Source organism: Homo sapiens, chromosome 15 (genome assembly GCF_000001405.40).
Source record: "Homo sapiens chromosome 15, GRCh38.p14 Primary Assembly".
In the NCBI taxonomy this organism is placed as follows: Eukaryota; Metazoa; Chordata; class Mammalia; order Primates; family Hominidae; genus Homo; species Homo sapiens.
Genome location: NC_000015.10, coordinates 84,505,675 through 84,520,737, shown reverse-complemented (window position 1 = coordinate 84,520,737; position 15,063 = coordinate 84,505,675). Strand labels below are relative to the sequence as shown.

At 45.6% G+C, this 15,063-nt stretch overlaps 1 pseudogene across 1 annotated transcript; it reads left to right on the top strand.

Moving 5' to 3' along the window:
* The first annotated feature begins 3,890 nt into the window (after positions 1–3,890).
* Positions 3,891–14,570, top strand: GOLGA6L5P (golgin A6 family like 5, pseudogene; annotated as a pseudogene). The gene is made up of 10 exons (NR_003246.4): positions 3,891–4,036; positions 5,704–5,823; positions 6,446–6,505; positions 6,691–6,771; positions 7,436–7,523; positions 7,905–8,638; positions 8,816–9,004; positions 9,271–9,331; positions 10,369–10,471; positions 10,682–14,570. The product of NR_003246.4 is annotated as a golgin A6 family like 5, pseudogene (transcript).

The window sequence follows — 15,063 nt, the reverse complement described above, 5'->3', positions numbered from 1 at the left end:
AGTACCCAGTGAATATTAATATATAACAATAGCAGCAAAAATTGGAAGAGTAGCCCCAGGAGGGTAGGGAGTCAGCCTTTCCTTTGTCTTTTCCTCAATTTCATATATTAAACAAAATAATCTGAGAACGATAAAACAATTTGAAATAAAAAATGTCTCCAGATCTCTTAAAAGGAAGCTGGGGCAGCTTTCTGTAGCGCACTTCCCAAAAATGGGCTGATTTACCTCAAGAGGCAGGGATTCTAGCCTACATGGGATACATACAGGAGAAAACAAAATCAGAAAAAGAAAAGAGATTTAAATATAAATAAATGAAAATAACAATTCTCCCTCATTATAAAGGAAATCATTCTTTTTGTAATAATTTGGATGACAAATATTAAGAAAAATCTTTAATTTGCCACTCAAAACATTGTGGTTTGTTGCTTTTTATACGTTTTTATGCACATAAACCTTTTAAAAAGTAGAATCGTAGTATGTAGTCTTTTGTCACTTACTATATTTTGGGCATATTTCTGTGGCAGTAAATATATCCTGGCATCATCATTTTTAATAGCTGGATGTATATTAAGTTAATCACTGCCACCCCAGAGGTGAATTTTCTTATACACACATTTTAATGGGCTCGAGCAAACATTTTTGGACTGAATTCATAGAAGTAGAATTTCTGGAGGAAAATAATTTTTAGGGTTTTTAATAGAAATTTTCAAATCATTCTCCAGGAAAAGTGACTCAGGTTATACTCCCACCAACAAGGACAGAGCTCCAGGTTCCCCTTTCCATTTGTCATCTTTCCTGCCTTTATACAGAAAATCTCATTGTTTTCATGACATTTCTTTGATTTCTTGTGCTTTTGAATCTTTGTATATGCCACTGGCCATTTTTATTCTTGTGAGAAGTGCCAGTTTCTCCATTGCCCATTTTCGGTTGAAAATCATTTGTTTTTTTTTCTCAGTAATTTTAAAGATTTCTTTATAGTCTAAGGATGCAAGCCTTTTATCTGTCATTGAGGTGACAAAACTTTCTCCCAGTAAGTAATTTGTCATTTCATTTTTTCTTCTTTTCTTTTTCCTTTCCTTTCCCTTTCTTTCTTTTCCTTGTTTCTTTCTTTCTTCTTCTTCCTTCCTTGCTTTCCTTTTCTTTCTTGCTTTCCATTCTTACTTTCTTTTCTTTTCCCTCCCTCCCTCCCTCTCTTTCTTTCCTCTTTCTTTTTCTTTCTCTTTCTTTCTTCTTTCCCTCTCTCTCTTTCTTCCTTTCCTTTCTTTTTCTTTATTCCCTCCCTCCCTCCTTCTTCCCTTTTTTTCTTTCTTTCTTTCACTAGCCAAGCTCCAAAGTCACATTTCACTTAATTTTTATCCTGCCAAATTTGAAAGCCTTTTAACTTCGTGATTTTAGTGTAAACAGGAGCAGGAGAAAATGTAATTATCTAAGTCTCGCTGTGTCACCCAGACTGGAGTGCAGTGCCATAATCATAGCTACTGCAGCCTTGAACTCCTCGCCTCAAGCAATTTTCCCACCTCAGCCTGCCAAGTAGCTAGGACTACAGCTATGTGCCACCACACCCAGCTAATGTTCAAAAATTTTTGTGGAGATGTGAATTCTTTATGCTGCCCAGGCTAGTCTTGAACTCCTGACTTCAAGTAATCCTCCCACCTCGGCTTGCCAAAGTGCTGGGATTACAGGTGTCAGCTACTGCTCCTGACCGAGAGTTTAGTTTTGTTTGCTAGTGGTGTTCTTGGTATCTTTTCATATTTGAGGTTTTGGGCTAGTGCTGAAGTATTACACTCACCATTCGAGGTCTACAGGACTTTTGGTTTAATATTGAACAGATGGAACTGTTTAGTTCTGCATCTTTGCAGGTATACAGAATGTGCCTACCAGGAATCTGCTTTATATCCATTGAAAGCAAGAAATAATACAGTAAAACTTTGCCTGGCTAGAGGCTTTGAAAGAATGGCGTATTCTGGTTTAATTCTATTACTTTGGAAGTATAAAGGTGAAAAAAATTCAAAACTTAAATTTCCTGTTGAATGCAATTTGAAAATATAGCCAATGATTCCACTTTTCTTCTCTAGTAAGGTTGGACATTCTGATCTACTTGGTGTTTTATTATAGAACTGCTAGTGTGCGTGAGTCTTACATTGTGAAGATACTTTTTTAAAACTTGAGATGTAAGAGGATGTAAATGGTTTTGTAGGAGATCAGGCTGGATGAGAACGGACACTTGTAAACATACTTTTTAGACTAAATCTCTGATTGCCGCTTGTTTTTCTTATGGAACTCATACAAATAAAACACATTGGATGGAGGGTGCGAGTAGGAAGGAGATTCTTGTCTTTTAATTGCATGTCATTGTTTCATAACAAGGCAGAACATATGGTAACCCTGGCTTTGGACCTACAGAAGGAAACACATTTTTCTACCTGCTGTATGCCAGAGGTTCTTGAACACTTGGAGGGATTACTGCAGCACAGATTGCTGAACCCTACTCCAGAGTTTCTGATTCACCAGGTCCAGGGTGGGGCCTGAGAATTTGCACTTATAAAAAGGTCTCAGGTGCTGCTGGTGCTGCTAGTCCATAGACTACATTTTGAGAACCACTCTTGTCTATTAAGTGTAAATTGTAGAACTCTAGAAAAAAGCTTAGTTCAGTCTGGGATAAGAAGCACACAGGTTATGGAGAAAATCATGAAAGATTCAACCCTTGATCCCAGCCTAGTGTGGATTTCAGGTAACAAGCAGTACACAGTGACATAACACAATTCTTGGTTTTCATGACTGCAAGTCATAGCCAGGTATCAAGTGAGAAATTCAGTTTCATTTGCAAGGCCTAGAGAGGCCTGGTGATTCTAGAAAAGTGGGCCTTGTATTTGTTTTAAACCAATAAAGAGCTTTAAGTGCTTATTAAATTGGAAGTTTTGTGTTCCTACTTATTTTGTATCTTATTTTATTTTATTTTATTTCTTTTGAGATGGAGTCTTGCTCTGTCACCCAGGCTGGAGTGCAGTGGCATGAGCTTGGCTCACTGCAACCTCCATCTCCTGGGTTCAAGTGATTCTCCTGCCTCAGCCTCCCAAATAGCTGGGATTACAAGCACCCACCACCACACCTGGTTAGTTTTTGTATTTTTAGTAGAGACAGGGTTTCTTCATGTTGGCCAGGCTGGTCTCGAACTCCTGACCTCAGGCGATCCACCCACCTCGGCCTCCCAAAGTGATGGCATTACAGGGGTGAGCCACCGCACCTGGCCCAAAAGCTTTGTGTTTTTAAAGATATTAGACATGTTTCTTGTTTTTAAAAGAAATCTTAACAATAATGTAGGAGAATAAGACAAACATTTTTCCAAAAAAGAGAAATCATTGTGATTATATTCTGTTATTGGAATGTCGGATACTATAGTCGGCTTCATTAATCATCAAGAATGCTATGGATTTTCCATTTTTATAGGATCTATATCTCAGTTAAGGTAATACTTGTAATTCTTGTGCTCCATTTGAAGATGAAAAATATAGGCCAAAATCATAGACTTTGCATAGAAGCTGGATAATGAAGACAGCTCTGGAGGAACACATAGATACACACAGACACACATATATAAAGTATACACACATATATTTTTTAAAGTTTATTTTTAACAGTTTTAAAGCTTTTAAAGCAAAAGCCAGCCCTTCCCCTCTCCCAGAGTGGGTGGCCCCTCCCCTCTTAGTGGGCGGGGACAGCAGTTGCATGGGCAGCTTTCCTTATGATGCCACAGGTCCCTCTGGACATGCTGCTGCCTGGCCACGCCTCCTTTCCCTTTCATCTTTCTCACTGACCAATGGGCTTGGAGCCTTAAGGCCACGCCCCTATTCTGCGTTCCATTGGTGCCCTGGTTACGCCACCTGTGGCTCAGTTGCACAGCTGCCTGGTAGGTGACTGGAGGCATTGAGCAGTGCTCACTGGTATTTCGCTGATGTGGCCCCAACCCCGCCTCCCTCCCCACCCCGCGATGTCAGAAAAAACACAACAGGGGAAATTGGCCGCAGCCAAGAAAAAGGTAAAACACACCAGGTCATGGCCCCCAACCCAGCCACAGATCCCCTCCGATGACAAGACCGGTGCCAGAGTCCATACCACTCCTGAGGCATACCAGATGGGGCCCCCCAACCCCAGCCCCTCTGGGCTCCCCCAACCAAAGCCTAGTCAGTCAGCCCCACCCCTTCAGCAAGCAGCCCAGTCCCTGCCCTTGCCAATCACCCCAGGGTGACTTTGGGCAGGTGACTCCTGGGGCTCCCTGCTCCATAATCAGCCCTCACCTCCTGCCACCCCAAGCCCAACCTCCCTGGGCTCTTTGGGCTTGCGTCTCCCAGGACCTGGGTCCCCCAGCCCCAGGCCCTGCCCTCACCAGTCATCCCTGGGTGGCTTTGGGCTGGTGACTCCCGGGGCTCCCTACTGCAGACTCTGCCCTCCCCTCCTGCTGCCCCAAGCTCGACCTCCCTAGGCTTCTTGGGCTGGCGTCTCTGAGGACCTGGGTCGAAACCGTGTGTTTCCCTCCCCCATCGTGGAGCAGCGACTCGGGCATCGCGCTGATGTGGTCCCCTCCCCTGGGAGGAGTGGAATGCAATGATGTCACAGTGCCCCTAGGAACTGTCATTACTGCTGCAAGACCGGCCTTTGATCTTACAACCCAGTCCCCTAAGTTTTCTCACCCCATTTCTGGTTCCTCTGGTTGCAGCACAAATTTCCAGCTGGAAGGGGAGTGGAGACTATGGGACCTAGGAGCAAGAGGTTTCAGGCTGCCTTACTCCCTTAACATAGACATTGACAGTGGGAAAAGCCTACACTTCCCCTGTGAGCTCAAAATGTTCACAGTATCTCTGGGTGGCAATGGGAGAATGGGTTTGGTTTGGTTTTTTCCCAGGCTTCTACTTTCCAGAGAGACTTTAACATTTTTTTCTGAGTTCTCCACGGTTCTGGGACCAGACTGCCCTTCAGTCAGTGGCCTCTGAAGTGAGATTTGCTCATCTTCTGTGGAATAGATCTTGGGAAACTGAACTTGACAGCTTGAATCTTCCTCATATCGTCTCAACCTGGGGTACTTTGAGTGCCACAGGATAAATGTGGGACATCTTTCTGAAGCATCATTTTCCCTTGATTCTCTTGAGAAAATGCATTAATGTACTTAGGGATGACAGACACATAGGTTTCCAAGCGTATACCAGACTTCGCTCTGAAATGAGGCTTGGGTTGTCCTCTTTCTGATAAATTCCCAGATTTAATAGAAAAGCTGCCTTCTGCCATGAGGACACATTGATATGAAAGTGTGAGAGGTACTGGTACGCTTCTTCACGCTAGCAGACCTGTGAGGATGTATGACTCTAAACCACACGGCCTACAGTTCCTGCCTGCTTAATGTTTACTTTTCTACCTCTGCCCCTGGTTTTGGTCCCTGGAAGCTGCTGATTCATGGCAAAACCCCAGAGCTTGGAGTCAGAGGACTGAGTTTAAGTTCCAGTATTGCCTTTTTTGATCTTTCTTTTTTTTTTTTTTCTATCCATGATATCAATCCCTCTCAGTCACTAAGTGATTGTGACAACACCTTGTACAGTTGTTGGTGGCATTACATCAGATGGTATATAAGGGTATTTTGTCAAAACTGTAAAGGAGGATGTGGCTGTAGGGGCTGATCATTCTCATGAGTGTTACCGCTCTTCTTTCCCACAGTTAAAAGCATATTGGCAGAGGAAGAGCCCTGGCATTCCAGCAGGAGCTAACAGGAAAAAGAAAATCAATGGCAGTAGCCCTGACACAGCCACTTCTGGTGGTTACCACTCACCTGGGGATGTGAGTCTCGGCGGGCCAGGGTCCTGGGGACAGGGGGCCCAAGGGGCAGTAGAGGGTAATTGTTAAGATTGTAGATGGACTGTTGGGTACTGGTTAAGAATTCTGGATTTGAATCCTGCCTCTCCATCTGCTAAGAATTGATTAGGGATTGATTAGCATATGATTTAGGGCAAGTTGCTTGAGGTCTTTGGGCCTCTCTTTTCACATCTGTATAATAGAGGTGGTATTTTTTGACTTCCATTTGTGAAGTTTAAATGAGATTCGTTATTGTTGCTTTTATGTGAATCCTTAGTACATGGCCTGCTGCAAACACCCAGGACACCGAGGAAATGGTCGTTGCTGTTTGATTTTCCTCATCCCCAGTCTCAAGGGGAAGCCAGGCCAATGAGAAGAGCCACTTGCCATCAGGCTGTCCCTTTAGGAGTCACTGAAAGGGCCCCAGGGTGGGATGGTGGGGAGATAAGAACCACGAGAGAAGTTGGCACAAAGGAGTTATGGGAAAAAGGGTCCAAGATAGGCAGAAAAGAAGCTTTTGCCAGTTGATGGGGGAAGAAAGGAAGTCAGAGGGCTTAGACAGTGAGGGGGGACAGAACATCTCCATGTGCACTCTCATCTCTTGCAGTCAGCAACAGGTATCTACGGGGAGGGCCGTGCATCCTCTACTACCCTGGAGGATCTGGAGGTAAGAGGCCCTGGGCCGAGGTGCAGTGACCCTGCAGGCCAGCCCTCCAACCTCCTCCCACAGCAGGGGCTTGTTGCCCCTCTGCCAGCTGAGGCAGCCCACACACCCCCACCAGCCCTAATGATTATTCTCTCTACCCCTCCCCACAATCTTCCTCCAACTCCTTCTCTCTGCATGCACCTCAGAGCCAGTACCAAGAACTAGCAGTGGCCCTGGATTCAAGCTCCGCAATAATCAGTCAACTCACTGAAAACATCAATTCACTGGTAAGAGTCCAGTGGGGTCCCCTGATTACAGCTGGTCAATCCTGGACTCCAGTTTCCTCTTGGGGCCCTGAAGAAAGGAGCTAGGGGCCCCTGATGCCAAGGGCAAATGGGGAGCTGGGCACCCAGGTCTCACCTGGAGGGACCCCAGAGCACAGAACATGCAGCATGGGTCTTCTGCACTGCCCTCTTTGCTGACTCTCTCTTCTCCAGACACCCCTGCTCTAGTCCTTGCCACACATGCCCTGGGGTTGTCACCTCTCTGGGAAGCACTAGCCTGACTGGTTGTCAGGGGTCCATATTTCTGCCCTGCCTCAGTCCCTAATTTGCTTTTTGAGTCTGGACAAGCCATCTCTCCTCTTTATGCTCGTGTTTCTGGAGGAGGTAGAGAGTATCAAAGGTCTCGGTTAGCTCTGAAAGTCAGAGATTTAAAGGCCCCTAGAATGGAAACCTCAGGGCCAAGGGCTCCTGTCTGTCCTTTGCTGTTTTATATCTCTGCTATGAAGAACTGTACCTGGCCTGTACATGCTCAGTAAATGTTTGTTGAATGAATGCACGTTTCTAAATCACAAACTGGCAGAAGGGGGGTGGGCCCTTCTCAAACTCTGTCTCTAGAGGTTCACCAGCCCCTCCCTCCAGGGCCCTTTTCCCCCTTTGCTTTGGGCAGGTTCGCACATCTAAGGAGGAGAAGAAGCATGAGATACATCTGGTACAGAAGCTTGGGAGGAGCTTGTTCAAACTCAAAAACCAGACGGGTAAGATGGGGCTGGCATGACCTGGCAGCTGGACTGGCATTAGAGGGCTGTGGGGGTGACTTAGAATGCCCCAGGGAGGTGGGTGGATGGAAGGGCTTTGAGGCAGAGGGAAAGAGGTCTGTGCCAGGGGAGGACAAGTCTTGTCATCTCCATGAGCCTCAGTGTCCCCATCAGTAAAGAGGGAGGAGTGCCCATTGTCAGCCACCCACAGTGCTCTCTATCTGAAAGTGACTTGGAAGACTGGCTACCATCCGGGTGTGAGGAGTCATTAGCAGTGAGGCCAAGTTTGGGAAGCCTGAGAGGAGGAGCTGTGCACCGAAGGGAGGATTTTTTTTTTTTTTTGAGAATCCAGAGGCCCTTATTGTCTGCTTCCTTTCTCAGCTGAACCCCTGGCCCCAGAGCCCCCAGCAGGGCCATCTAAGGTAGAGCAGCTACAAGATGAGACCAACCACCTAAGGAAGGAGCTAGAGAGTGTGGGAAGACAGCTCCAGGCTGAGGTGGAAAACAATCAGATGTTGAGTCTCCTGAACAGGAGACAGGAGGAGAGGCTACGTGAACAGGAGGAGAGGCTACGTGAACAGGAGGAGAGGCAACGTGAACAGGAGGATAGGCTACATGAACAGGAGGAGAGGCTACGTGAACAGGAGGAGAGGCTGTGTGAACAGGAGGAGAGGCTGTGTGAACAGGAGGAGAGGCTACGTGAACATGAGGAGAGGCTGTGTGAACAGGAGGAGAGGCTATGTGAACAGGAGGAGAGGCTACGTGAACAGGAGGAGAGGCTACATGAACAGGAGGAGAGGCTACGTGAACAGGAGGAGAGGCTGTGTGAACAGGAGGAGAGGCTACGTGAACATGAGGAGAGGCTGTGTGAACAGGAGGAGAGGCTACGTGAACAGGAGGAGAGGCTGTGTGAACAGGAGGAGAGGCTACGTGAACAGGAGGAGAGGCTGTGTGAACAGGAGGAGAGGCTACGTGAACAGGAGGAGAGGCTGTGTGAACAGGAGAAGCTGCCAGGGCAGGAGAGGCTGCTGGAAGAGGTGGAGAAGCTGTTAGAACAGGAGAGGCGGCAGGAGGAGCAGGAGAGGCTGCTGGAGAGGGAGAGGCTGCTGGAAGAGGTGGAGAAGCTGTTAGAACAGGAGAGGCAGCAGGAGGAGCAGGAGAGGCTGCTGGAGAGGGAGAGGCTGCTGGAAGAGGTGGAGAAGCTGTTAGAACAGGAGAGGCGGCAGGAGGAGCAGGAGAGGCTGCTGGAGAGGGAGAGGCTGCTGGACGAGGTGGAGGAGCTCCTGGACGAGGTGGAGGAGCTCCTGGAGCAGGAGAGGCTTCGGCAACAGGATGAGAGGCTGTGGCAGCAGTAGACTCTGCAGGAGCTGGAGAGGCTGCGGGAGCTGGAGAGGCTGCGGGAGCTGGAGAGGATGCTGGAGCTGGGGTGGGAAGCCCTGTACGAGCAGCGGGCCGAGCCACGCAGCGGCTTCGAGGAGCTGGTGCGTTGCCCCACCTGGGGAGGCTGCCCTCTTCCCTAGCCCTCAAGGCCTTTGTTTCCCCACCTGTAAAATGGGGCATTGTAGCCTTCACATGAAATGGTACTTCTAAAGGCATCTGTGAGCCAGAGCCCTGCTCTGATGGCTGTGGGAGAGAGGGGATATTTTTCTAACCTGCCTCCACCCTTCCCGGTGCCATGGGAGGCAGACACTAAGTTCTGGGGTCTCCAGTTTTAGTGGGTGGCCACTGATTGCTTCTCTCTGTCCAGAACAACGAGAACAAGAGCACACTGCAGTTGGAGCAGCAAGTAAAGGAGCTGAAGAAGTCGGGTGAGCTGAAAGAGACTGTAACCTCCGACCCATCCAAGAAGATGTGGGAGGTGGGCACCAGCCTCTGGGGAGGGGAGGTGCCAGGCCACAGGCAGCTGCAGCCTGGGGACAGGTGACCCCAGCACCCTCCGGGGCAGTCCTATGACTGTTTCTTGCTTCCTGCCCTCTGACTTTTAGAGGTGGGTAGCCCTGGGGTCCTCCCAGGTCTGGACATCATCATCCCAGCTAGAGGCATGGAGCCCCCCAATCACAGAGGAAGAGACAGTGGTATAAGAGGCTCCTTATGTCGGGTGTGGTGGCTCACGCCTGCAATCCCAGCACTTTGGGAGGCTGAGGCAGGACAATCACTTGAGGTCAGGAGTTTGAGACCAACATGGCCAACATGGTGAAAGCTCATCTCTACTAAAATTAAAAAAAATAATAATAATTAGCCGGGCCTGGTGGTGCATGCCTGTAATCCCAGCTACTCAGGAGGCTGAGACACGAGAATCACTTGAGCCCGGGAGATGAAGGTTGCAGTGAGCTGAGATTGCACCACTGCACTGCAGCCTGGGACACAGAGTGACACTCTCTCAAAACAAAACAAAACAGACAAACAAAAAAGACTCCTTAGATTCAAACTGGATTCCGGCCTCGGTTCCACTGGTCATAATTCAACTACTTTGCATCTCTAAGTCTCTGTTTCTTTAACTTCAAAAGGAAGTTAGCCTTTTCCTTGCAGAGGTGCTGAGGATTAAATGAGATAATACGTGGAAACATTAGGCATGTAGCACACTTAGCAGATGGTGGTTGGCTCCGCCTGCTTTTCCACCAGTCTGTGGCCTACAGTTTAAATGCTGGGAAAAAGGACGTGAGATTTGATGCTAGGGAAGGAGGCATGGGGTTCTAGGCAAGGGAGACAGTCTCTTAGGCCTGGAGCAAGGGGCCAGGGGCCTGGGCAGGCCACAGAGCCCCACAGTGTCCTCGCTACCCTATTAATGGGCCAGGAATCTGGAAGCCAGCCACCACATGTCCTCATGCCCAGGGTCTTCCGGCAGGTGGAGCTGAAGAGCCAAGAGGCTCCGAGTCTGCAGCAGCAGCCAGACCAGTAGCTGGAGCCCCAGTCCCACAAGGAGCTTGGATGTGCGGACAAGCAGGGTGGTGAGTAGAGCCCTCAGGCGGGGTGGGCAGGCAGGAGCAGGGGAGGCTCGCACTGTGCCCAGATTCCCACCCCCCTCCCTCTCTCTGAAGATCTTAGTGGGCTGAGCCTCACTGATAGCATGGAGGCTGCACCGGGAGAGGACAGGGAGGGTTCTCCCCCATGACAACCCCACTGCACAGCAGATCCAGCAGCTGCTTCCTCTAATGCAGGACTCCCCAGGAGCACCCAGGCTTGAGTGGAGAAGCTGTTGGTACAGGAGAGGCGGCAGGAGGAGCAGGAGAGGCTGCATGCCATTCTTTTCGGGCTGCGGAGAACAGGGAGCTAAACATCACCATCATCTAAGAGCGGGTCAAGGAATTGAAAAAAAAAAAACAAAACATTTAAGGGGTTAATATCCTACACAATTCATTTACTTCATTTGAATGTTAGAGCCACTTATGTTTATTTGTGTTTCTAATTTATAGTTTAAATTTATTTGTGTTTCTAATTTATAGTTTAAATTTATTTGTGTTTCTAATTTATAGTTTAAATTTATTTGTGTTTCTAATTTATAGTTTAAATTTATTTGTGTTTCTAATTTATAATTTAAATTTATTTGTAAAAAGTTAAATGAGAGTGGGTGTTTCTCTCATGTTCACTCTGGCATCTTTTAGCATTTTTTTAATTTGATAATTATAGGACGTTAGCATGCATATCGAGTTTGCCCTTATGTGGTGGGAGTTCAAACACACAAAGACCCACTGTATGCACACAACTGTTCTTGCTGGTTTGGGATAGGCTGCCATGCTTTTTTAATGTTAGTACAGCCTGTATATTCATTACGGAATTCAGATAAAATTTCCTTATGTTCTGCTGTTATGTTTGATCGAATCCTAATCACAGTGAGCTCTTCATTAGCTCAATATGCAGTTTGCCCTCAAGTGCGCGGTCTATTACTTTGTAATATGCCACTGTGAGTACTGACATTTACAGTTGTTTAAAGGTGGAGCACTGGAAACAGCCTTTCCCCCTTTTTCTGTGTATTGGGGATGGGAGTAATAACATTTTGGGGAGGTTTTTAAATCTCCCAGAAGAGGAAAGTGGCCTGCTTTGGCAGGTGTGTGCAGGATAGAATATGTTTCATTTGTTTCAGTGCCAAGAATGAGTGCTGTACTACAGTAGTTCCCTTAGGATTTGTATGTGCTCTGGGCTCATGAAGATACTGCCTCATGAGCTGTGGCAGTTGTACTCTTTTTTGATGACCTGAAAAGGGATTATTTCTGAGGAATGAAAGGCTCCCATCATGACTGTGGATGTGGAAAACCTTTTCTAGCTGAGAGCATTTATATCTACAATACATTTTAAAGTCAGAGTTCATGTTCCCTGTTTTAATCACATGACTACATGTCCCAGTACACAAAAGGGCACTGGTTGGCGTTCTCCTTAATGTATTTAGTAAAGATCAGAAGAAATCCTTTAAGAGTTTAAATGCCCCTGGAACAGGCATATACAGGCTCTAGTCAAGAATGAATTCGAGTGAAGGAAAGCTGTGTGACACCTGGCATTCCTCTGTGTTCATGGAGCTTATTTGAGGCTAGAAGATGGATTTTACCATCTAGACCTCTCTGGCTAATAGCTAGTCTTCAACCATCTGACATAGGAATTTACTTCTTTTCCTTGAATGGAGAACACTTTAAAAATAATAACAAACATTATTATAAACTAATATATGTGAGAGTACTTAGTTGAAACAAAAAGGAGTTTTAGTAGACAGTATTATACTACATTTGAAAATCAAGGAGCAGTTTATGCAACGTAAAATGTTTACAAACTGCAGCGCAATCTACTGTTTGTGACTGTCAAAGTGTCATGAGGAAAGTGTCTATACAATCACAGAGTTATATTTCCTCACAAAGTTCTTTACGAAGAGTGAAATATGTTTTTATACCTCTCAGTTTCAGTTAGAGGCATATTTTGTGTAATATTTATGGCTTAAAATGGACTAAAGGTCCTGTTCTTGCCTTTTCTGAACTTGCCGCTTTTGCATTCTTTGAGTTCAGTTTAAAGACACTTACTTTAACTCCATTTTAAACCCTCGGGCTAGAAATCGTACCACTGTTAATTAGCCACGTTATTTGGTCTAACAGTTTTTGTTTATCATTCTGAAACTGAGCTTATCTAATACATTGATAAATTATTTCAAAGGTATTTTTATAGTTCAAATCGCTTCACTTTTACCCTGACACGTATAAATGAATAGGAATGACCTTCAGATAGCGTTTAGCAACTGTAACCAATCTGACAATAATGTGTTCATCAGGTACCTGTGGATTAAATCACATACTGGCATATTTAAGATGAATGTCAGTCTGAAAAATAAATATACTATATTAATTCAAATACGACTCTGTGTAGGTATTTTGTCATATGTTTAAGAAAAAGCTAAAGAGAATGGAAATCCTATGACAATAACTCAAGTCTTTCTTCAAAGTGCATGCAGTCTTTTGCAGTACCTCATTCAGCCAAGTATTTGTTCTCTACCTCATTCAGTATAAGGCAGCCTTTAATTTGCTTAGAAGGCAACATTAGAAGGTTAGAGTTCAGCAGGAACATAGAATTTTAAAATGTGACTTCAACTGAATAAATTTGAATTTCTGTAGGGAGTAAAGAATCAAAACACCTATTTAAAGACTGCAAAATATGATAATTATTTTTAAAGTAATTGATTAAACCTGGTAGGTTTTCCCAAAATGAAAAACAATCAGTTCTAAAACCAAAGCTGATTTTTAGAAAATGTGAAAATGTAAATCAACCCTATCCATAATAGATTCTCTAAAACTTTATCTTACAGTCACTTTCAAATAACTATTCAAAAATGTAACTGCTATATTAACGTCTTAAAATAATTTAAAACATTTTAAAATATGAATACTGTAGTTTAAAACAAAGAATCTAGGGGAAGGAAAAGTAGACAAAGAAATGCCAATTCCAGTCCAAAGCTGTATTTGCCAAGTTTTCTTAGAATGACTTTTACCGATTTATGAATTCTTATACACAGAATGCATAATGGAAATACTGATTTTTGTCTAAAGTGGCATTATTGACTGCTGCTGTGATGCTACTGTAATGTAATACATTATTAAATTGTTTCAAGGTGCTGTTTTGCCTAAAAATTTTGTGTGTCTTGAAAACTATAGTATTGGGTATTGAGACTCTGCAAATTCTCGGCATGCTTGGCATGAGGTAATCGGTTTTTATTCTTACAAAATTGTAACTATGTAAGTGTGTTTATTAAAAGAACACAAACTAAAAAAGTTAACAGGAATTAAAGTTGTGGGATGAAAAAGTTACAGGATAAAAAAATACTGTGGAAAAGTGGCAAAAAAAAGTTGTGGAAAAAAAGTAAAAAAAAAGTTTTATGAAAAGTTATTTTAAAAAGTTATGAAAAATTAGTTACAGGATTTAAAAAAAGTCATGGGATAAAAATAAAAATAAATAAAAGCAGGCCCCTGTCAGCATAAGCCTGGAGAAGTGGGTCTGGAGTCTTCACCCCCACCATGTCCCTACAACCCCTCCCCAGTCAGCCCTTTACCATTAGGGTAGCAAGACAAGACCCTTGTCTAATGGAGGGAGACAAACAGACCCTTTACCACCTTGACCAAGGCTGAGTCCTTACATTTCTGGATGATGATGTTTGTTATTTAAGAGCCAGAGGTTGGTGGAGTTGGTTTGTTTGGAGGAGGTCTGACGGCCTTCTTACTCTCACCAAAGCAACTTTTCCCTCAGGGGGGCTCCCATCTTCTTACTCAGAGAGGCAGCTGAGGCGGGACAGTGGAGTTAACTGTAGACCAGGCCAGGGCACAGGCTGCTGGGGGTGGCCCCCCTTCCCCCGTGTACATACTGTAGCTGTGTAACATTCTGTATCGTACCTAGCGGAGGTTGCAGCTGGCATATGAGGAAGAGGTTCTTATAATTATTCGCGGCTGGGAAACTTATTTATTGCTAGCATAGGAGCGAGGAAGCAGGCGGGGATGGGGTCATGGCTGCCTGGTGATGGGACTCCTGTTTTTTGTTTTTTGTTTTTTGCTTTTGATTTTGGAATAAATGGATTTAGCCATACTGCTCGGCCTGGTATGTTCCCATTTCCCTCACTGGGTCCTGCAGTTTGTCCCACTGAATGAGGAGCCCCAGAGTGTCTCAGCATGTCCAGCTGGGCTGTTGGGGACCTTCCAGGCCTGTTACCTGTATGCTGCCTGGTGACACCTGGTGGATTTCATGGGGACTGCCATGGCGCCTACGGAGTACACTCTGGCCCTGACAGCCAACTGGTTGAGAAGCCTGATCTAGCTGTGGCAGGGAAGACAGATACCAGTGCCCAAGGGCACTGACTTCCATCCACCCCAGGTGTCTTCCGTTCTGTCCCCCTGCCTCCCTCTCCTGTCTGCACCGGGTGGCCTGTCTGTCCCTCCAGAGTGCCGGCTGCCCCGCAGGTTCCCTCCAGGCTGAGTTCAGGGCCCTGTCCCCTAGTGGCCAGAGCTGGCTTCACAGGGTAAGAGCCAGCTAAGCTCCAGGGACTTTCCAGGAAAAGTGTCCCTTGAAAAGGGTGTGACCT